At 44.4% G+C, this 24152-nt stretch overlaps 1 protein-coding gene across 4 annotated transcripts in view, besides 2 other annotated features; it reads right to left on the reverse strand.

Moving 5' to 3' along the window:
• The window catches only part of GABBR2 (gamma-aminobutyric acid type B receptor subunit 2), a 420827-nt gene that overhangs the window by 61277 nt on the left and 335398 nt on the right, over nucleotides 1-24152 (reverse strand). For all 4 annotated transcript variants that reach the window (NM_005458.8, XM_017015331.3, XM_005252316.6 and 1 more), the window contains 2 exons: nucleotides 22079-22186; nucleotides 13330-13452 (listed from right to left, as the gene is read on the reverse strand). In NM_005458.8, coding sequence (NP_005449.5) covers nucleotides 13330-13452; nucleotides 22079-22186 — 231 coding nt within the window. The remainder of the gene's footprint in view (nucleotides 1-13329; nucleotides 13453-22078; nucleotides 22187-24152) is intronic.
• Nucleotides 10406-10906: an enhancer, noted in NCBI's record as "H3K4me1 hESC enhancer chr9:101122073-101122573 (GRCh37/hg19 assembly coordinates)". NCBI's record gives its function as "activates a minimal SCP1, AML or CMV promoter by ChIP-STARR-seq in naive H9 embryonic stem cells {active_cell/tissue: H9 hESC(naive)}" and the evidence as "EXISTENCE:reporter gene assay evidence [ECO:0000049][PMID:30033119]".
• Nucleotides 22834-23522: an enhancer, noted in NCBI's record as "H3K27ac hESC enhancer chr9:101134501-101135189 (GRCh37/hg19 assembly coordinates)". NCBI's record gives its function as "activates a minimal SCP1, AML or CMV promoter by ChIP-STARR-seq in primed H9 embryonic stem cells {active_cell/tissue: H9 hESC(primed)}" and the evidence as "EXISTENCE:reporter gene assay evidence [ECO:0000049][PMID:30033119]".

Raw genomic sequence — 24152 nt, forward strand, 5'->3', positions numbered from 1 at the left:
AGAGTTGCCCAGGCTGGAGTGCAATGGCATGATCTCGGCTCATTGCAACCTCCGCCTCCTGGGTTGCAAGCGATTCTCCTGTCTCAGCCTCCCAAGTAGCTGGGATTACAGGCATGCACCACCAGGCCTGGCTAATTTTTTTGTATTTTCAGTAGAGATGGGGTTTCACCGTGTTGGTCAGGCTGGTCTCGAACTCCTGACCTCGTGATCCGCCTTCCCTGGCCTCCCAAAGTGCTGGGATTACAGGCGTGAGCCACTGTGCCCGGAGAATATTTTTTCATCTAGATTTTTAAATCTATGTTCATCAGGAATATTGGTCTGCAGTTTTCTTTTTTTATTGTGCCCTTGTCTGGTTTTGGTATCAGGGTAATTCTGGTCTGGTAGAATGAATAAGAAAGAATTTCCTCCTCTTCAAATTTTTGGAATAGTTTGAGAAGAATTATGTTAGTTCTTTAAAAGTTTGGTAGAATTCAGCAATAAAGCCATCTTGTCCTGGGCTTTTCTTTGTTGGGAGACTTCTTGTATGGATTCAATTCTGTTACTCATTATTGGTCTGTGTAGGTTTTCTATTCCTTTCCGATTCAATCTTGGTAGGTTACATGTGTCCAGAAATTTACCCATTTCCTTTAGGTTTTCCATATTGTTGGATATAGTTGTTCATAATAGTCTCTAGTGATCCTCTGTATTTCTGTGGCATCAGTTGTTATGTCTCCTTTTTGTTTCTCATTTTCTTTATTTTCATCTTTTTTTTCTTGTTTAGTCTAGCTAGTGGTTTATTGATTTTATCTTCTCAAAAAAAAAAACCCCACAAGTTCTCATTTTCTTCATCCTTTGTATTTTTTTAGCCTCTATTTCATTTAATCCTGCTCTGATATTTATTTCTTTCCTTCTATTAATTTTGAATTTATTTTGTTCTTGATTTTCTGGTCCCTTGAGGTGCATCATTAGGTTATTTGAAATTTCCCTACTTTTTTGATGTGAGTGTTAATTGCTATACGTTTCCCTCTTTGCACTGCTTTTGCTGTATCTCATAGGTTTTGGTATGTTGTGTTTTCATTTTTATTTGTTTTAAGAAATATTCAAATTCCTTTCTTAATTTCTTCATTGACCTAACAGTTGTTTAGGAGTATGTTGTTTAATTTCCATGTTTCTGTACAGTTTCCAAGGTTCCTTTTGTTATTGATTTCTAATTTTATTCCACTGTGATTTGAGAGATGATTGATATGATTTCGATGTAAAAAAAATTTGTCGAGACTTGTTTTGTGGCCTAACATATGGTCTGTCCTGGAGAATGTTCCATGTGTTGATGAGAAAAACGTGTATTCTGTAGCCATTGGATGAAACGTTCTATAACTGTCTGTTAGGTCCATTTGGTCTACAATGTACATTAATTCTGACACTTCTTTGTTGAGTTTCTGTCTAGATTATCTGTCCAATGCTAAAAAGTGGGGTGTTAACATCTCCAACTATTATTATATTGGAGTCTACCTCTTTCTTTAGCTTTAATAATTTTTTTTATATATCTGGGTGCTCTGGCATTGGGTGCATATTCACAATTGTTATATCTGCTTGATGAATCGATCCCTTTATCATTATGTCATGTTCTCCTTTGTCCCTTTTTATGTTTCTGACTTAAAGTATATTTTGTTTGATATTTGTATAGCTAATTCTGCACGCTTTTGGTTTCCATTTGTGTGGAATTTTGTTATCCATTCCTTCACTTTCAGTCTATTTATATCTTTTTCAGGAAAAGTGAGATTCTTGTAGGCAGCTTATAGTTGGCTTTTTAAAAAAAATCCATTCATCCAGTCTATGTCTTTTAATTGAGGTATTTAAACCATTTACATTCAATGTTGTTATTGATAAGTGCAGATTTACTCCTGTCATTTTGTTAATTGTTTTCTGATTGTGTTGTATATCCTTTGTTCCTTTATTCCTCTTTTATTATTTACCTTTGTCTTTTGGTGGTTTTCAATGGTGCTAACATTTCATTTCTTTCTCTTTCTTATTCGTGTCTCTTCTCTACCAGTGAGTTATACTTTTGTGTGTTTTCATGAAGGCAGATACCATCCTTTCACTCCCAGATGTAGGAATCCCTTAACCATTTCTTGTAGGGATGGTCTAGTGATGATGAATTTCCTGTTTTTGCTTATCTGGGAAATGGCTTTATTCAAATTTAGAAATTCTTTCTTTTGCTTGATCTAGTCTATTTTTGAAGCTCTCAATTGTGTTTTTAAATTTCATTCATTGAATTCTTCAGTTCTAGGATTTCTGTCTGGTTCCTTTCTTAATGATATCTATCTCTGTGCTGAATTTCACATTCAGATCTCAAATAGTTTTCCCAACTTCTTTGTGTTTGTCCATCTGTGTTGTCTTGTATCTCACTGAATTTCCTTAAGATCATCATTTTGAATTTCTTTTCTGGCATTTCATAGATTTCCTTTCTTTGGAATATGTTATTGGAGAATTATTGTGTTCCTTTGGAGGTATCATGTTTCTTTGCTTTTTCAAATTTCTTGTATCCTTACATTGATATCTGTGCATCTGGTATAACAGCTGCTTCTTCCAATTTTAGGGATTGACTTTCATGGGGAAATAATTTTTCCTGTACATGTGTCTATAGTGTTGGCTGGGTAGGGTACTTTGGCTTTGATTCTGAATGGGCTTAGTAGTGTAGTCTCTGTATGATTTCTTTGGCTGTAATCAACATCAGTGATTGCTGTGAATTTCTCAGTAGCTTAGGCTGTAATTATTAGTGGAGGCTATGTTGAGGCTTTACTGGAGATAAGGACACCAGGCAAGCTGGTCCTGGGGCTGGCCCCTGGGTGGCATGTAGGGGCACTGGTGGTGGCAGTTGTCTACTGGGTGTGCCAGTCCTCAGGTCCCCAGGTATTGTGTGTGGACATCAGAAGTGTCAATGGTGGGCCTAGGTGGAATGGTCCTTGGGCCCTTAGGCAGCTTGCATAGCCACCTCTGGTGGCAGAAGAGGTGGCTGGTCAGTCCTAAGGCCACCAGGTAGTGATAATGGTTGGGTGGGTGGTGCTGGAGGGCTGGGAAGGCCAGCCCTAGGGCCCCTATGAAGTGCTCATGGATGCCAGTCATGGGCAGGGTGGACTAATACTCAGATTCCCAGATAGCACATGTGGGTGGTGATGGCAGCAGGCAGGGTGGACCTGTCCTCAGGTCCATGGATGGTGTGCATGGATGCTGGTTATGGTGAGTGGGACAGACTGGTCCTCAAGATCCCTGAAGGTGTCTGCAGGTGCATGAGGGTCCTGCTGCTGGAGGGGGAGGGGTTATCGGCATCCCCAGGCAGGCAATTCTCAGGCTCTGGGGAGAGCATGCTTTGGGTCCCTTTGTCCTGGGGGTAGCCTTCCTGGTGTGGTACATTGATGTTCTCTGGGGCATAGGACGCTGTGTGGGCTAGAGTCCTGGGGACCCGGCTGTGCCACAAGTTATGGCTGGTGTCATAATGCTGCAGCCCTCTGGGTGGATGTGGGGGAATGTCAGTTGGGCTTCAGTATGTATAGATGTAGGGGCTTTTGGGCCCTAGAGCAGGATATATTCTGGTGGGTGCTGGGCTCTCAAAATGGTGTCCTGATGCAGCAGCTTGGGTTTTAGGGGGGTGAGTGAATGGGACCCAGAGTGAAATCCTCTGGAAAATGCAGTTGTATGGACTCCAGGCAGCTCCCTATACTAAGCTAATGGCCTGTGAGTACTAAGGAGCTCTCCTTGGCTAGTATTTCAGGCATCTGTGATGGGAATGCGGACCACTAAAGATCTATTTTCCCCACTGTGGAGAGTCCCTCCTGGCTCTGAGCTGATCCTGATCTCTCTTAGATGCTGTATTTGGTGTATCTTGTTAAAGTTTTATCATGAGATTGCAGCAATCCAGTCACATCTTTAGGCTCCACTTCTAATTCGAATTATCTTGCTATTTCCACCAGATCTGCAGTTACTTCCTCTGCTGAGGTCTTGAAACCCTGAAAGTCATCCATAAAAGTTGGAATAAACTTCTTCCAAACTCCTGTTAATGTTGACATTTTGACCTCCTCCCACGAATCTCAGATGTTCTTAATGGCATCTAGAATGGTGAATCCTTTCCAGAAGGTTTTCAATGTACTTTGCCCAGATCCATCAGAGAAATCTCTATCTATGGCACCTATAGTCTTATGAGATGTATTTCTTAAATAATAAGACTTGAAAGTCAAAATTATTCCTTGATCCATGGACTGCAGAATGGATATTGTGTTAACAGGCATGAAAACAACATTCATCTTCTTTTACATCTCCATCAGAGCTCTTGGGTAATCAGGTGATATGGTTTGGCTGTGTCTCCACCCAAATCTCACCTTGAATGGTAATCCCGATAATCCCCACATGTCAAGGGTGGGACCAGGTGGAGGTAATTGGATCATGGTGGGGGGGGGTGGCGGAATTCCCCCATGCTGTTCTCATGATAGTAAATTCTCACGAGATCTAATAATTTTATAAGCGTCTGGCATTTCCCCTTCTTGCACTCACTCCATCTTGCCACCCTGTGAAGAAGGTGCCTGCTTCTCTTTTGCCTTCTGCTATGATTGAAAGTTTCCTGAGGCCTTCCCAGCAATGCAGAACTGTGAGTCAATTAAACCTCTTTCTTTTATAAATTACCCAGTCTCAGGTATTTCTTCATAGCAGTGTGGGAACAGACTAATACACCAGGTACATTGTCAATGAGCAATAATATTTTGAAAAGAGTATTTTAATTAATTAATTTATTTCTGAACAGTAAGTCTCAAAAGTAGATTTAAAATTATTCAGGAAACCATGCTGTAACAGATGTGCTGTCATCCAGGCTTTGTTGTTCCATTTATAGAGCACAGGCAGAGTAGATTTAGCACAATTCTTCAGGGCCCTAGGATTTTTGAAATGGGAAATGGGCACTGGCTTCAACTTAAAGTTACTACCTGCATTAGCTCTTAACAAGAGAGTCAGCCTTTCCTCTGAAACTTTGAAGCCAGGCATTGACTTCTCTTCTGTGGCTATGAAAGACCTAGATGGCATCTTCTTCCAACATAAGCCTGTTTCATCTCCATTGAAAATGTGTTGTTTAGTGTAGCCACTTTCATCAAAGATCTTAGCTATATCTTCTAGATAACTTTCTGTAGCTTCTGTATCAGCACTTGCTGCTTCATCTTGCACTTTTATGTTATAGAGATGATTTCTTTCCTTTTAAATCTCATGAACCAGCCTCTGTTAGCTTTTAATTTTTCTTCTGCAACTTCCTCACCTCTGTCATCCTTCATGGAATTGAAGAGATCTAGTTCACTGAGATTTGATCAGGCTTTGACTTAAGGGAATGTTGTGGCTGGTTTGATCTTTTATCCAGATCACTCAAATATTCTCCATATCAGCCATAAGGCTGTTTTGCTTTCTTATCATTCATGTGTTCACTGAAACAGCACTTTTAATTCCCTTCAAGAATTTTTCCTTTGCATTCAAAACCTGACTGTTGAGTGCAGTCGGCCTAGCTTTTGGCCTATCTCTGCTTTCAACCTGCCTTCAACCTGCCTTCCTCACTAAGCTTAATCATTTCAAGATTTTGGTTTGAAGTGAGAGATGTGTGACTCTTTCTCTTACTTGAACACTTAGAGACAACTGCAGGGTTATTAACTGACCTAACTTCAATATTGTGTCTTAGAGAATAGGGCAAGGAGAGGAAGAGAGATGGAGGAACAGTGGGTAGAGCAGTCAGAACGCACAGAACACTTAACAAATAAAGTCTGCCCTCTTATCTGGGCATGGTTTGTGGTACCCCAAAACAATTACAATAGTAACAGGAATGATCACTGATCACAGATCACCATAATAGATATAATGATAATAAAAAGATTGAAATGTTATGAAAATTATCAACATGTGACACCGAGACACAAAGTGAGTAAACGCTATCAGAAAAAATGGTGCTTATAGATTTGCTCAATGTAAGGTTGCCATAAATTTCAATTTGTAAAAAATGTAAAATCTGCAAAGTGCAATAAAGTGAGGTATGCCTGGACCAGAAATGAGCAATTGAAATTTGAAATTAAAAACGCAATCCCATTTACATTAGCACCCAAATGAAATGAAATAGGTATAAATCTAACAAATTAGGTAAAACATCTACATGAGGAAATCCACAATACTCTAATGAAAGAAAATAAAAAAAGATCTAAATAAATGGAGAAATATTTCACGTTCATAGATCAGAAAACTCAGTATTGGTAAGATGTCAATACTTCCCAACTTGATCTATACATTCAGTGTAATCCCAATAAAAATCCCAGCAGATTATTTTGTGGATATCAACAAACTAATTCCAAAGTTTACATGAGTGGCAAAAGACCCAGAAGATCTCACACAACATTAAAGAACAAAGTTGGAGAAGTGACATTCCCTGACTTTAAGACTTACTATAAAGCTATGCTAACCAACATAGGGTGGGATTGATGAAATAATAGATCAATGTAATGGAACAGGGAGCTCAGAAATACACCCACACAAACACAGTCAACTGATCTATCACAAAGATGCAAAGGTAATACAATGGAGAAAAGATCGTCTTTTCAGCAAACAGTGCTGGAACAACTGGACAACACGCAAAAGGAGTCTAGACATAGACCTTACACCTTTCACAAAATTTTACTCAAAATGGGTCACAGGCCTAAATGTTAAATGTAAAACCATAAAACATAACAGAAAAAAATCAAGGTAACTTTGTGTTTGGCAATGAGTGTTTTGATACATCAAAAGTATGATCCATGAAAGAAAAAAGTAATAAGCTCGATTTCATTAAAATTTAAAACTCCTGCTCTGAAAAAGACAATGTAAGAGAATAAGACAAACTGAGAGAAAATATTTATGAAACACATATCTAATAAAGGACTTGCATCCAAAATATACAAGGACCTCTTAAAATTCAACAATAAGAAAACAACCTATTTAAAAAGTGCACAAAAGTTCTGAACAGTCTTCTCACTAGATGGCAAATAAGCATATGAAAAGATGCTCAACATCATATGTCACTGGGGAATTGCAAATTATAACAATGAGATACAAGCACACACCTATTAGAATGGCTAAAATCCAAAACACTGACGACACCAAATGCAGGCAAGGATGTGGAGCAACAGGAACTCCCATTCATTGCTCGTGGGTTTGCAAAACGGTATAGTCACTTTGGAAGACGGTTTGGTAGTTTCTTACAAAACTAAACATCCTCTTACCATATAATCATAACTTGCACTCCTGGGTATTTATCCAAATGAATTGAAAATTTATGTCCACACAAAAACTCACACATGAAAGTTTGTAGCAGCCTTATGTATAATTGCCAAAACTTGGAAGCAACTAAGATGCCCTTCGGTGGGTGAATGAATAAACAATCTGTGGTACATCCAGGAAATAGGACATTATTCAGTGATAAAAAGAAATGAGCTACCAGGAAATAGGATATTATTCACTGATAAAAAGAAATGAGCTATCAAACCACAAAAATATATGTAGGAACCTTAAATGCATATTACTAAATGAAAGAAGCCAGTCTAAAAAGGCTACATACTCTGTGATTCTAACTATATGACATTCTGGAAAAGGAAAAACTATGGATCCGTGGTTGTCAAGGATTAGTAAAGCACAGAGGATATTTAGAACAGTGAATCTACTCTGTATGATATTGTAATGGTGACTACATGACATGCATTTGGCAAAGCCCGTAGAACAGTGAACCCTAATGTAAACTATGGACTGTAGTGACGAATAATGTATCAACATTGGTTCATCATTTGAAAAAATGTACCAGACAATGCAAGATATTAATAACAGGAAATTGTGGGGGTGGGTGGAGGGTACATGAGAACTCTTTGTACTTCTGTTAACTTTTTCTGTAAACCTAAAACTACCCTAAGAAATAAAGTCTATTAAGTAAGTATAAATAAAATTTAAAAAATTAAATACATCTGCTGGGCATGGTGGCTCATTCCTGTCATCGCGGCACTTTGGGAGGCCAGGGCAGGTGGAATATTTGAGCCCAGGAATTGGAGACCAGTCTAGACAACATGAGGAAACTCCGTCTTTACAAAAAATACAAAAATTAATGGGGTGTGGTGGCGCATGCCTGTAGTCCCAGCTACTTGGGGGGCTGAGGCTGGGGGATCACCTGAGCCAGGGGAGGTGCAGTGAGCCGTGATCTTGCCATTGCACTCCAGTCTGGGTAACAGAGTGAGATCCTGTCTCAAAACAAAACAAAACAGACAAACAAACAAAAAACAACAACAAAAAAAAAAACCCCACATCATAGTTTCTGAAGAGGAGATATAATGTATATGTACAATTTGAAGAACAGAATTGCCAGAGCCTTACAGGACCTGTGTGCCTGTCTCAATCATATCCTCCTATCCTGCCCACCAAGAAGTAACCACAATCTTGAATTCTGTGTTAAAAATTGCCTTCTTCTTTTTTTAAAAAATGGTTTTGCTACCTATGTATGTATCCTTAAACAATATTCTGTTCAGTTTCTCCAGTGTTTGAACTTGAAGCGTGTGAAAGCCTGTTTTGGGTATTCATGCGTGACTTGCTGTTTTTGCTCATTGCTGTGTTGTTGAGATGCCTCCAAACTGATGTGTATGGCTGTGGCTCATTCATTCCCACAGCTGTATAGCCTTCCTTTCTTTGAAAATACCATAGTGCACGTATCCATTCTGTTCCTGTGGGCCATTTAGGATGCTATCAGTTTTTGGCTGTTATAAACAGTGCTGCTGTGAACACCCAGGCTTGGGTCTCCTTGGGCATATGTGTGAGACTTCCCCTAGGGATGTGTCCTAGTGGAATAGCTGGGCTGTGGGGCATGTGCATCTTTGACATGACTCATGTCAAATAGTTTTCCAAGTGGTTGTGCCAATGTACACTGGAGTAGCACTGTGTGTTGTGTTTGCTGCCTGTGTCCTCTCAGCACTTGGTTCACTGGACACACTGCCTGCTCTCTAAATGCAGCGGCCTCTGCCTGAGTGCTCCCATACCAGCTCAGGCCTCCTTGGCTTTCAGCTGAAAAGTCTTCTTTGACCCTATGAGGCCAGACTGGCGTCCCTCCTCGGGCTCCACAGCACCCTGTACCATGAGGGTTGTGAGTTAGCCACTGACTTGTCTGTCTTCCTAACTGCTCTAAGGGGTCCTTGAAGGAAGGGCCACATCTCATTCACTGCTGTCTCTCTGGAGTCCCTCACAGGGCCTGATGCATAGCTGGTGAAAAAGGTGAGAGTGAGGCTGGAATCACTTTGGGGCATGAGGAGGCTGTGGGGTGCTGAGCCATAGCTGGAGGCTTGGCAGTGGCAGGGGCGTCATGGAGTCAGGCTCCAGGACCACAGCCACACAGTCAGCCTGCCCTGAGAGGGACTGTGTGTAGCCCCTGAGAGAGGAAAGAGGCGGTGAAACCAGAAGTCAGGACCTCCATCCCCTGCCTCAGGGACCCTTTCCACCCGTATGTGGGGTTGGGTGGCAACATGGTTGAAAGCAGACCACCTGGGGTGGAATCCAGGCTCTGCCACTCACTGGCTGAGTGACCTGGGCCAGTCACTGAAGGTCTCTGTGTCTCAGTTTCCTCATCTATAAAATGGGGGCAAAAATATCTCCTACCTCACAGGATTATTATAAAGATTAAATTAAATGAGTTCATATTTGTAAAGCATTTAGAACAGTACCTGGCACATGACGAGTGCTACAGAAGTACTTATGACATATAAATGGCTGGGCGAGGTGGCTCACACCTATAATCCCAGCACTTTGGGAGGCTGAGGCAGGTGGATCAATTGAGGCCAGGAGTTTGAGACCAGCCTGGACAACACGGTGAAAGCCTATCTCTACTAAGAATACAAAATTTAGTCAGGCATGGTGGTGCACACCTGTAGTCCCAGCTACTTGGGAGGCTGAGGCATGAGAATCACTTGAACCCAGGAGATGGAGGTTGAGCAGCGAGCCAAGATCATGCCACTGCACTCCAGCCTAGGTGACAGAGTGAGACTCTGTCTCCAAAAAAATAAAATAAAATAAAATAAATCGATCAATATTTATGGCACAGAAATGAATAAGGATGGGGGACTGGGCTGCCCCCAGTAGGCCTCTAGGGGACTTGCATTCCAAGGACCCTTGAGTATGCTCTCTCAGGGTGAATTGCTTCCATGGGTCCTTCCTGTTATTCTCAAGCCCTGGGTTCTGTTTATTTCCCTCTCACTGCTTTCAGAGTCGACAGTGATCTGAAGTGATACGGTTATTCGTCTGCAGGTTTAGTCTGCTCCCTGATTTGCCTGCAGGCTGCCATGAGGCTGTGGCTGCCATGGCTACCTGTGTCTTCCCATGGAAGATGCCGGCCGTGGCGTGCTTGCTGGGTGGGCTGTGTGGAGGCTGGCTGAGACATGGCCCTGTCCTGGAGAAGTTGCTTGCTGGGAGTCCTGACTGGGGAATGTTTGGGATGCTGGGGGAGGAAGTGAGGCAGAGCAGGTTCTCGACTCCAGCGGAGCCAGTGAACACAGGGACACCTCTCCATAGGAGGTAACACTGGTGCTGAAACTGAAGTCATATACTTGGCAGAGAAGATTCTGGAAGGGGACACAGCATGAGCAAAGGCTAGGACGCGTACCATATTACAAGGCCCATACCTGGAATCCTCAGGTGCTCAGAGTCCGGAGCACACAGGGTGTCTGAAGTAGGTAAGTGGGAGGGAGGGATGGGCCACAAAGGTCTTTCATCATCTCTCCCCCAAGCCTAGGCTTTCTGTTTGGAGATCCTGGACAAAACAGCCCCTTGAAGGAGACTTTAGGATACCTCAGGCCCTGGGCACACTGTTCAACTACCCTGTTGTGTCTGACAGAGGAGGGTCTGAGAGAAACCAACGGCTTGGTGCTGTTTGTAGAAAAACGACAATAAACAGGGCTGTGGGTGGACAGATCAAAGGGTTCTGTTACCATAGCAACAGAGGGACAGGCCAACCCTAAAATAAAAGAAGAAAAGTAGGCACCTGCCAGAAAAGGTTCTGAGAGAAATCTCAGCACACCCTGCAGGGAGACACAGGAACAGCCTATCTGGGCCTTGCCTTGGACAATCTGGGTGACCCTGGGCCCTGGATAGCACCTTTCCAGGCTCTGTTTCCTTATCTACACAGAAAGGCACTTCTGCAGCACCCTGGGACTCCTCAGTTTGAGAACCATAGCCTTGGAAAGTCTGGAATGTGCTAGGGTTCTATGCACAGAGCCATTGATAGCAGCAGTGCTTATTACAGAATAGAAGGAAGGCAGGTAAGAGCCATGATAGCAAACCATCAGCTAGACACATCAGACTGCACAGGTTTACCTTGTTTAAACGGTCCAGTAGGACAGGCATCCCCACTTCCAGAGTCTGTTGACTCTGGCACTGCTGGTGTCTCCCCACCACAGCTGGAGCCTTGGGAACCTCTCGTAAATACTCAGCTCCCACCTTCATCTAGAATAGAGGCGGCAGCCATTCAGCCTCCCTAGCCCACTGTTGGGCTCCACACTGAGCCACTGTGCCTCGTTCTGTCCACCTGGTCCAGCTCCAGGCCTTCCACAAACTCTGCCTGACTCACCCTGCTCTTATTTCTTGATCTCCTGGGCCCTCAGTCTGCCCATTATTCTACTTTTTTCTCCTCATCTGTAGAAGGGGAGAACATTTCCCTGCCCTACTCACTTCCCAGATCTGTGGCCAATGAACAAAGGTTTAAGAAAGCCTGTAAAACTGCTAAGAGCTGCCCAGGTGTTGAAAGGCAGGGTTAGGCAGTAGGTGAGAGGGTAGTTAGTGGTATTGTCACTAACCTGCTAGGTAACCTTGGGTAAGTTACACAGCCTCTCTAGGTTTCTGTTTCCTCATCAGTAAAATGAGGTTAAGGACAGCATCTACCTCCCAGAATTGCTGTGAGGATTAAATGAGTTAACGCATGATACCAGCTGTCATCATCATCATCGCTCTTATCATCGTTGCTTTTTATTATCACCGCCACAGTCTCTCCCTAGCTCAGGGGCCCAGTTAGCCAATGATAGCTCTTCCTGGTGTTGACATCCTGTCTGGATTTCTAAATTCTGGTGCTGGGCAGGGAATTCCCTTGGGATGAAGGGGGCATTCCCTTGGGATGAATTGGGACCCACCCAGCTGTTCTGTTGCCTACCTTGCAGGGTGAATGGTGACCAGATGTCCCCCCGTCCAAAAATAGCCTGTCTGCTCGAGTGGACTCAGTTCCTGCCCCCTTGGCCCGTGGGCAGAGCCAGTGTCGGGTCTTTCCTCCTTACCAGTTCTGGTTGTGACTGTCTGGAGTCCCACTTCTATGTGGAAGGTGGTCAGGTGGAGGGACATAGTTCTCAATCTCTTTCCTATATGGCATTCTCTGCTGCTGCTCTGAATGCATGCATAACTTCTTACCAAGCTGAGTAAACACTGTCTCGAGATAAATGAGGCTGAGCATCTTATTTTCTATAAAACCTTCTTGTCTAGAAAGATAAAAGGCTCTGCCCTCAGTGCATAGAATGACCATTTCTGGTTTAGTGTAAGAATTCACACTAAATTCCCACAAAAGATCTCTCTAACAAAGCAGTGAGAGAAACAGAGATTCTTATTTTCTTAGAGTTTGTTACACTCTACCGAAATCCTACCAAATAGCACACCCCACTGCAGCTCAGCTGTAGCCCGCAAAGACAGTCTAACTATTCTAAATGAAAGTCAACAAAACTACAGCGTCCTAAGGGACTCAAAATTCCCTAATCTGGAGAATCCTAGAAAGACCAGTGCGAGTTCAGGGCAAGGCTGACTGCAAGACAACTAAAAATATATTTAACAGTACTTTTATGTGAGGTTCCTTATTTTAACAACAAATATCTGATTTCAAATGTGTGAAAAGAAATATATTGCCCATCACTTTGAAAACAATATAGTATCTAGAAGGAGCTTTCAGAATGTTTACACACTAGTAGCACTTTTTAGGAGATTTACTTTAAAATTGGGATAAATATGCAATGTCATTTCTCAAGTGATGGATCTTATAAATGAAGGCTTCTACAATGCATAAGAATATACTCTTAAAAAGCCCAACATTTCCCATTCATTCTGCGTGTATTAATATTAAAATCAACTTCTTTCACAACACCTTATATTTGGCCTCCCTGGAATTACATGTCTCAAATGGAAGGAAATGGAACTGATGAAGTGTTCCCAGTGGGGTACTGGGCAGTCTGGGAGCTGTGCAGCCTCACTGTCCTCATGTGCCAGGGGCTGCATCTGCAGGCTTCCCTCCTGCCGGCATGGAGGGCTTACCTCCATGCTGTACTTCTCCACTGTCCTTCGCAGGGGGTCCACAGCCTGCCAGCAGATCAGGATACACAGGTCGATCAGCAGCATGCCCCCCACGATCACAAGCAGTTTCTGGTCCTTGATGATCTACAGAGCGGGAAGGAGCAGAGGGGAGCCGATGTGAGAGACAGCTTCCCACGCAGCAACTGGGGGCCCAGGTCATAGGGGGAACCTGCATCATGAACCCCCCAGCCGGAGAGTCTCCTGCGATTCCCCATCACCCACAGGATAAATCCAGCCAAGCTCCTCTGTGTGACATTCAAGGCCTTTCACAAGCTTGACCTTATCACTCCCCAAACACATATGTGCATTTTGTTGAAGTTTGGCCACTCCTAGTCCCTGGCCGAGCTGTGATTTTCACCCTCCAGGTCTCTGTAGGTGCTAGTTCTTTTGTCTGGAATACCCTATTCTTTCTATTTGGCAAACTTCTAATAATCCTTAAACATCTCGATCAATTGTCACCTCCTCCATGAAGTCCTCTCTAACTCCTGCAGCACAACTAATTACTCCATAGCGCTTTGTCCACATACTTAATTATCAGGAGGAACCACAGTAGTAACAACAATGAGAGGAATAGCTAACATTTAATGAACACTTACTCTGTGCCTGCCTCTAGGTTGATGGTTTCAGAGGCAGTGTCTCATATAAAAGCAAATATTGTTATTATTCTTATTTTATGGATGAGCAAACTGAGGCTTAAAAGGGCTAAGTAACTTGCTCAATATAATAAACTTAATAAGAGATGAAGCCTGGATTTGGACCGAGATCTGTTTTCTCCAGAATTCACATCCTCAAACATTTACAGCAACAATCAGAAGCTATATAAAGTTGTATACATGTCTTCCCTCCTCAGTAAACTGGGGAGGCCTAGACAGAAAGAAAGCCCATTTTATTTGTGTTCCCTCAGCACCTACCGGGGCCTGGTATGCAGTAGCTACTTAAAAGTCTGATGAATTGAATTGACATGAAAGAATATAAAAAGAAGAAATATAACTCCCATTCCTCTTTGCAGCCTGGGATATTTTTATTACTCTGTGAGACTCCTACCCCACTTTACGTCTGTTTGATAGGGATCGGCTGGGGGATAAATATTTTCGGTGCCAAAGCTGACCTGTATTTCATTCACTTCATGTTTATATATCCCCTCACTCTCCAGAAAAGCTAATGTGATGGAGTAGTTCTGGAAGAGACTCATGGAAAAACAAACAAAACTCAGGCAGAAGCTTAAGAAATATCACCAGGTTTGGTTTTTAACGATTAAAGCCATTTTTAAAGGAGAAATAAAAACCCGAGGGGCCTTTATGTTACCGAATGTAAAAAGAACACGAGGAAAGTGTGGGCTCAGTGACTGCCAAGGAGATTAAATCCAGCAAAACCGCTGTACCTGGGGGCAGGGCACCGGCAAAGCCCGCTCTGAGATTTTCAAGGATATGGTGAACTGCTGGTGCTTTGCAGAAACCCAGCTTAACTCTCACCCTCTGGGGAACTAGGCAACTCCCTGCCAGTCTTGAGAAACTGGGGCAAAATGCCTAAGGAGCTTAGCAGTTAGGGGATGGGTTGGAAGGAGCCTCATATCTACGTGATGCTGAACATGGGGCTGTTTGAGCCCCCAGGCATTTGTCCAGCTATTCCTGACCCCTGGAAGGCCTGACCTGCACCTTTCTGCTGGCATACTCCTACCCTGATTTCAAGATTGAGCCCAAGCAGCTTCTCCTCCTCCATGAATCTAGGCATACCCTGCAAGGGGCATAGATGGCTTTAAAAGCTGAGCACCAGAATTTTCCTCTTGTAAATGTCATAAAGTAAATCCTTCCAATTTAATGGCTCAAGTATGAAGTCTGAGGAAGTGGATTTTTTTTTTTTTTTTATGGAATCTTGCTTTGTCACTTAGGCTGGAATGCAATGGTGCAATTTAGGCTCACTGCAGCCTCCACTTCCTTCCTGGGTTCAAGCAATTCTCCTGCCTCAGCCTCCTGAGTAGCTGGGATTACAGGCATGTGCCACTACACCCAGCTAATTTCTGTATTTTTAGGAGAGACGGGGTTTCACCATGTTGACCAGGCTGGTCTTGAACTCCTGACCTCAAGTGATCCACCTGCCTCGGCCTCCCAAAGTGCTGTGGTTACAGGTGTGAGCCACCACACCTGGCTGGGGCAGTGGATTTCTAAAGTATTTAAAATTAAGTGGACCTGAGTTAGAATTCTGGCTCTGTTCCTTGATACCTGTGTGACCATGAGCCAATCACTTCCTTGCTCTCATTCTGCATTTCTCATTTGTAAAATGGGCAGGGGCAGGGGGAGGGAGAGAGCAGGAGGGCTTCTGTGTTATTCTCCAAGTAGGTATAAAGGAAAGGACACAGGTTTTGGAAGTAGAAGACCTCATTCTAATCCCAATTCTTGTCAAGCGTGATCTTGAGCAAGCTGCTTAACTTTGCTAGGACTCAGTTTCCTTCTTTTTAAAGTGTGGTCAGTGATCCTTAAATTGTACAGTTAGTATAAGAATAAAATGAGATGAGGTATGGAAAGCATTTAGTACAGTGTCTGGCACAGAGAAGATGATCAACAAATGGCAGCTGGCTACCATTACCTGGGTTTTGACAATTAGTGATTCTGTGTTTATGTGTAAGACACAGTGACATCTAGGGGCCAAATGTGATACTGCACCTAAGCTCTACTAGACACAAGACTAATCATCATGTGTGGATGGGTGCGTGGTGGGAAGATGCTGAGAATCAGAGGAGAGGAAATGGTTATTTTCCTTTTGGCACCATTCACAAACCCTGGCATGTAGCCACTGTTTGTGACTGAATGGGTTTAGGCTAAGTAGTTATGAATCACTTTTTATTTATTAATTGTAGAAATATTTATTGAGTGCCTACCCTGAGTCAGGTTCTGTTCTAGGCACTGAGGATGCAACAGTGGACAAAACAAACATTCTGCCCTAAGAAACATGCATGTTTGTGGGGAAGACTAGTAGTGAAAATTATACAAGTACACCCGTGGGAATACAAAATACAATGTCAAGTAGAGGTGATTTAAAATAATCTTAAATAATGAAAACAGAAGGAAGGAAAGAAAAAAAAGAAGCACTGATCTGAGCACCAGAGACCCCTTGCATTAGGCAAGGCCATCTCCCTATTCTTAGATTCTTTGACTTCCTTCCTTCTCTTAAATGCTGCCTGAACTTCTCTCTGGGTTACGTCAGTACTCACTGATGCTATCACATGCAGTCCTCTCTCTGTGGGTAGGAGGTACTTAGTGGCAGATGAGAGCAAAGGCACCCAGTAATGATTAAGCACCTGGTTCTGGAATCAGATCTAAGTTTGAAATGAACTAACTAGTTGTGTGATCTTGGGTAATTCCCTTCCCACTCTGAACCAGTTTCCTCATCTAGAACATGGGGATAATATTTGCACATCCCACACTAGATTACCAGAGCCTGGCTTACAATAACTGTTCAACAGATCCAGCGATTTTTACTAAATGTGACTTCTGGGTTGTTTAGAGCAGGGATTAGCAAACTACTGACTTGGCCCACCATCTATTTTTGCAAATAAAGTTTAATGGGAACGTAGCCTTGCTCGTTTAAATGAGCGTACCCTCAATTACAAGGAGGGTAAGGTAGAGAAGAGAAATTTACACCTTTACCATACTCATTTAAATGAATGTCATGTGCATATTTGTCTATGGTTGCTTTTATTCTATGAAAGCAAAGTTGAGTAGCTGCAACCATGACAGAAGAGCCTGCAAAGTCTTACCTATTGACTCTCTGGCTCTTTGCAGAAAAACTTGGCTGATGCTTGGTTAAGAGAAAAGGGCATTTCTTCATTTTTTCAAAAAACTTGAGATTTTCTGACCTATTCAGACTGGCCTTCCACTAGGGCCAACTCATTTCTTCAGGGAACACCATTCAGGAGGAATACAGCATGGATGGTGCCCCTGGGGCTGAGCTCTCCTGTCGTCTTTAGATGGCAGATGCTTCATGACAGCTGCTAAAAGCCCTCAGCATTTTCCTTAAGTTGAGCCCAGATGAAAGTCTGAGGGTTTATCCTCAGGTGCTTTTCCCACTCATGTTATTGTCTACAACAGAACCCAGTCATATTTGTAGTGAACTTCCATTGTCCTCAAAAAGCATCTGCCCCCAGAACAGAAGGTGTCATCTCTAAATTTCTACTCTTGTTTCAACACTTCCATTTGGTCCTAGTATGAGGCAAAATAAAGACTGTAATAAAACTCCTCAATTTAAAAAGATTTTACAATTGGTCTTTAGAAAAAAAGTAACATGCTGTAAAAATATGAAATTTGGAAGCATTAAGTCACACGTGTTAATAGCCTTTAATAGCCTTCTTTTGCTTTAATGCTTTCAAAAATGTGGACATATAGGGCATATGGGGTGAAGTTTGTGTATGTATGTTTGGGGAGGGCAAGCCATCATGGATGAGGGAGGAGGGGTGGGAGCTATGCAAAGAAGAAAAGGATAAAAAACTGCATTGAAAAAAAGCAAATGATTGCATTTGCAAATTTATATAAATCTAGTATATATGTCAGTAAAAAAAAAAAAAAAAATAAGGGGGCCACTAAAAAAAGTCCAAACTTCTTTAAAAGAAACAAAACAAGTCAGTCACCAAAGGACAAATATTGTATGGTTTAACTTATATGAGGTTCCTAGAGGAGTCAAATTCATAGAAAGGAGAATCGTGGTGGGCATGGCTGTGGGGAGAGGAAGGGAGAAGAGGGAGTTAGTGTTGAATGGGTATGGAGTTTCAGTTTGGGAAGATGAAAAGGTTTGGAGATGGATGGTGATGATGGTTGCACAATACAAACGAACAACATGAACTGCCAAAGGCTTTCAGTACAAGATTTGGTACTAATTTTGTTGTGAAAATGATGAAGGCTGGATGAGCACATTATTCCAGTATGAGAAACTCTTTGGGGTTACTCTGGGTTTTCTAGTGATTCCAGGAGCCGGTTTGCGGTGCTGTGGTTAAGTATTATTTACCAACCAAATTACAGGAGGGTAAGGTAGAGAAGAGAAATTTATATCTTACCCAAACCACACACTCAATCAGGGAACCAGATTGTTTTGAAAGGGTTGTGACAGGCGTAGTTCAAAAATGGGCTCTTCTTCACAGTTCCAGTTTTTTACATAACCAAGTTGGTTTTTATTGTTACAGTTTTGTTTTTATTGTGGTAAAATGCACATCAACTTTACCATTTTAACCCTTTTTAAGTGGAGAGTTCAGTGCCATTAACTCAATAGAGGTGGCCCTGATCCCCTCTGTGCATGAAGTTTATCGCCGTCATTGCCCTTTCTGTCCCTGACATCACCCTCACCATCCTTGATGTCATTTCCCCCGCTGGTCCTGAGGCCCTCCTCACCGTCACAATCATCTTCCTCTAGATGCCTGGTGACACAATTACCATCCTCTGATGTCCACCTCTGTCACCTTCTAGTCCTCTAACCTCATACCCGTTAAGGGACTGTTTTAATCCCCACTGTCTCTGACATCATTACCCTTAAAAACAAAAGTAGAAAAAAAGTTTTAAAAAGTAAAAAAAAAAAAAAAAAGTAAAGAAACTTTAAAAAGTTAAAAAAGGTTAAAAAAGTGTGTGTGTGGGAGGCTTGTTTCTCAGATAAGCCTCCTCCCTGGATGCCTGGACCCACTGCAAGCCTGAGCTCTCAGAGTTGGCCCAGACCCTTGGCGGGGACCGAGTTTCCCCTAGCTCAGGCAGTGCAGGAGGAAGTGAGCAAAAGCCCATGGCCTCTGGTGACCACACCATATCACTGCCCCACAGGGAGCTTCTAGACAACTGAACTCCTGCCGTTTTCCCAATATGTTTTGTCGATTGTGGCCAGACGGTTGATGTGTTCTTGCTTGGCAGTCATGTTAGAGAGCATAAAGGCAGGTTTCTTATCACAGATGACCATAGGGATGAATCACATATTAGCACAAAGGAACCAATACTGTGCTTCTTCCAAACCAGGATGGAGTTGTCATCCTGGTTCAAGAGCAGAACAGCTCTTAAACCAGAGCCGCAGAGCAGGAGGGGCCCCAGAAGCCACCTAGGCCAGTGGCTCTCCAGCCTTGGCTTGCTTTGGCCAGGGATGGGGAAAACACAGGCTCCTGGGCTCCTCCCAAGGATTCCCGTTCATTAGGGTCAGGGCGGGGCCCAGGAACTTGCATTTCTAACAGCTTGCAGGGCAGCCGCACTCAGAAGCCCTGACCTAGACCACAGGTCCCCAACTTTGGCAGTATATTAACATCACCAGGGAAAGCTGAAAAACTACTGATGCTCAGCTCCAGCCCCAAAGCCCTCATTTCAACTGGCCTGGGCGACTTCCAGTAGTTTTCAAAAGGTCCTCTGGGATTGCAGTCCACAGCCACAGCTGAGGAACACTGGGGTGGCCAGGCCTCTCATCTTACGGAGAGTTGTCATAAATGCTGCCGGGGCCCAGAGACGGCCCCTCCATGCGAGCACAGGGACAGGGTGGCAGAGCAGGGCCCCTTCCCCACTCTAAATGCAGCCTGTGGATTTCCTAAGGTGGTTCGGGTGTGGGGCAGGGGGCAGGGGGCAGAGAACAGAATATACCTCCACCTCATCTGGAGAGGACAGGGGGCTGCAGTCCTGAAGAAGAACCTTGGCAGTGAAGAGGTGGGTGGGGGGCCTGAGGAGTGAGAGGTATCACCAGGGCACCAGGCAGGAGCCCACAGAATCACAGCTAAGGGGACAATACTATGTTAATGTGTCCACATTCTACAGATGAGGACACAGAAGTCCTGAAAGACTAAGAGCTTTGTCTAACACGGCAGATCAGCAGTGGAGCAGAGCCTAGAACTCCAGGCTTCTGTTTAGCCTGTTGGCCTCACTGCTCGGGCTGGGTTGCTGTCTGCCACTGGTGCCAGGTAGCCAGGGAGCAAAATGCAGGCTTGGATGAAAAACCAGAACAACAGGCTCCATGTTCCACTGGGATGAGCCCACAGTGAGGATCTGCAGAGGAGGTGTTGGTAAACAGGTGATGCCCACATCAGGATTTGAAGAGTGTGTGCAGGGGGCTAGGGTGTGGTGGGTGGGGAATTGAATTGAGAAGAAGATTTTTGGTAAGAGGTGTCATGGTACCCTGGTGAGAGAAATGGGTGGACTGGGAGGGAACGCTTCCTCCATGACCTCAAATCAAGGGAGAGGCCTTGGTTTCCAGTGAAAAGGAGATCACTGGGTGGCTTGATAGGAGTCTTTGCAGCCTGGGGGACCCTGTGGACTGGTGTCCGACTCCTGCTTGAGAAACCTAAAGGTGGATGATGGACTGGCCAGCTGCTCTGAGGATGGAACAAAAGAGAGGCAGCTACTACAGTGACATCAACCTTCAGTCCTTGAGTTTGTAGGTGCAAAGGATGAAGGAATGCTTTCTGTGCCCCAGATGTGGGCCATGGGTGAGGGAGAGTTTGTGTGGCCCTGTCCAGGACTAGCTGGAGGGGTGAGGTGACCCCAGGGTGGAGAACTGAAGGGTGCTCAGGAGCAGAGGAAGAAGCCACAAATAGCCAATTGGGGGAGCATTTCACCTGCATCAAGAGGACGGCAGGAGAGAAAGTCCTAGTAATGAGGGACTCAGAAAAGCGCCCCAGGAGTCTAAAGGGGCCACTGCAATCCTTGCCAGGCCCAGTAAGCCCAATGCCAGCTCTGAGCAAGTAAGGTATTTCCTGCCTCTTCCACCACTCCTAATTCCAACTCTGGAGGGGTTGGACACCTGGGTGGATGGGATGATGGGGAAAGAATGCAGGCTGGCCAAAGACAGAAGCGGCCAGCCTATACTCCTTTTCCCAAGGCAGGTGGCCGGCCTGCTGCAGGCCTGAGCTGGGAGAGGGAGAAGTTGTGCCAATCAATGCTGTTTGCAGTTTTGAATATAACAATAGACTCTACATATTATAATAGTTACTAACCAGAGGACCTTCAAGATCACAAGACTTTCACAAATTTTATCCAGAAGAAAGGGGAGCTCCAGTACCACTGCAAGAGTTAAAGAGGACAGTGGTGGATAAAGTTTCTCTATGACTAAGAGTCAAGGTCTGGCAACATCATATCTATACCAAACCGCACGGGTGGCGAATGCGGTCCACGGTGTGAAGGCTGAGCTCCTGTCCTACAGGGGCCTCTTTGAAAATGGAATCATTAAATCAGGTACCAGCCCTGTTTCACTCCTCTCTTTTAAGGGCTCCCTATTGCCCATAAGTTAAAGTGCAGATTCCTTAATGTGGCTCCTGTCTTCCCTTCCAGCCTCTTCCTGTACCCTGTCCCCACAAGCCCTATGCCCCAGCCACACCAAGCCTCTCTCGGCCCCTGACCACCCTCCTCCCATCCCCAGGCTGCCACGGATGGTTCCTTTGACAAGGTCCCCAGCATCCCTATGCCCTTGGCTCAGCCAACTCCCACTCACCCTCCAGGCCCCAGCATAGGTGGCACTTCCTCCATGAAGCCTCCCTTGAGTGTTTCGTACCCCAGCACCCCCCACATGTCCCCAGCCAGCCCTGATAACTGTGTATTACAAATGCTTTGTTAACTGTCCGATTTCCCCAGTAGGGTGAAGGTGGCAGGAGGTAGGGATTGTGTTTAGCTTGGATCCCCAGCAAATAGCTCAGTGCCTGGAATATAGTATATACTTGCTAGATAAATGCTGGGTGAACACTACTAATACCCTGAAACAGAAGGAGAGTGATTACCTTCTTCTTCATTTTCACATTTTTGAAGATGGCGTGGACTCTCCAGGTCTTTGCAAACATGGCCCCAAAAGCGGTCGTGTAGCCCACGGTGAGAATCCAGGTCCTGACCTAGAGGCCATGAGAAAACAGAGGCATTGACCTTCCTTAGGTAGACAGACTTCATCAGGTATGAGTCCACCCTGCAAGGGGACTCTTTATGATGGGGACAAATACTCCCCTCTGCATATAGTTGAGTTTCATTGGCATCTTTCAATCAAATTTCCATTCAATAGGCATTTAGTTCTATCAGCCACTTACCAGACCCAGGTCACTAGGCACACAGGAGTGCAATATTCAAACCATGCCTTAGATGGGCCTAGAGAGAGCCAGACAGAGGGAGAGCCACAGAGGGCCCCCAGGACTGCTGAGATGCTGAGATACCACCAAAAGGTGATGGTCCAGCCCTCTGGCCTTCACTTCCCCTCCTCCCTTCCTTCTTCCTGCTGCCCAGCCCTCTCCCCACATGGTCAGGCCATGTGGCTACTACTGTCCAGTGTCACCTCAGAAGGTCAGTTAGTCAGCATGGGCCAGACTGGCCACTGAGCCCACACTTAGACCTTGGTCCCTGCTCAGGACTGAGGCCCTGTCTGGCTCTCACCTATTCCCCAGGACCAAGGTGTGCCCTGACGCCTAGCCCTGGGTTGGTGGCTAATGGGAACAGCCGGCCCTGACAGGAGCCTACAACTTGGATCCCTGAAGGCTGGAACAGGCTGGCCACCACCTGTTAGGTCTTAGGGGCCTCCAGGACGCCCACCTTCACCTGTACTGTATCACTCCCAGACCCCCCAACCCTCACCATTTAGACTGGACACCCTCTAATACCCAGGAGACGTGCACATCTCCAGGTGGGCCCCACATCATGGTCCAGCCCTGGGCTGTGCACCACTGAGTTCTGGGGCCTCCCACTCACTGGGACAGAAAAGCCACGTGCCCCATGAGTTGCAGCTCTGAGCTTGGGTCTTTGCTCTCCCTCAGCTCTGTTGAGCTTAGTTTCCTTTGAAAGGTTCCAACCTGCCTTGGCTGAACACAAGGCAGAAAGTTGGATGTGGTAGGGGAAAAAGAGAGGCAGCCAGGCTGCAGCAGACAGCTCAGGCCCTCTGCATCCAGAGGAACTGAGCACAGTAGCTTTGCTTGGCTTCCCCAGGCCCCTTCTAGTTCAGGGCTGGCTGCCACCAACACATGTAGGAAGTTTCCAAGAAATGTTCCCAGCCCATTCCCCTTACAGATTCATTCTGCTCCTGCCTTTCCGGCAACTTGACTCTCCAGGTTTTCAGAGACAGAACATTTTGCGTTTCAATTTTATTTGTAAAAATAGGAACTATTTTTAGATTGCAAGGCTGACCCACTAAATCAAGGGAAGGACAACAGTATCACAGCGCTTGTTCAGAAACACAGGCCTGTGAACCATGAATGCTGTGAGGGTACAGGTGGGTGCTTAGCCTTCTATTTTCTTTTTCTTTTTCTTTTTCTTTTTTTTTAATTTCACAAACAAGGAGAAATCAGATGGGTAAAAATGAACCACAGTGCTTTAGAAAGAATGTAGAATGGCCACATTATTACCCAGATGATCATAAAAGGATGTGAGAAAAATATACAAAACAGGGAGGGGGAAAGAGCCAATGATAGAGAATTTAGACCTGAGCATATTCAATGAACAGATAATACATTTGTCATCTGTCAGAGATGCATGGGACTTGACAGTTCATCTCATTCATTCACTCATTCGTTTGTTTGTTCATTTGTTCATCTTCAACAAGTATTATTAGGACAGAGGCAAAGTATACAACAATAAAAAGAAATAACAACAACAATAACAGACACCAGGGTGATTTTTTGGAGGTATCAGTTAAGTGAGGAACTCCCTTAACAGGTGAAGAAACTGAGGCCCAGCGCATTCAAGATAGTTCCCTTAACCATGCCACACAGCTCCAGAGCTAAGCCTGGAACTCGATGCTTTGACCCGGTCCAGGCCTCTCTCCCCGACATCCTGCTGCTGCCTCCTCCTCAGATGGAGTCTCCTCAACTCAAATCAGGT

The sequence above is a fragment of the Homo sapiens genome, chromosome 9 (genome assembly GCF_000001405.40).
Source record: "Homo sapiens chromosome 9, GRCh38.p14 Primary Assembly".
NCBI classification, from domain to species: domain Eukaryota; kingdom Metazoa; phylum Chordata; class Mammalia; order Primates; family Hominidae; genus Homo; species Homo sapiens.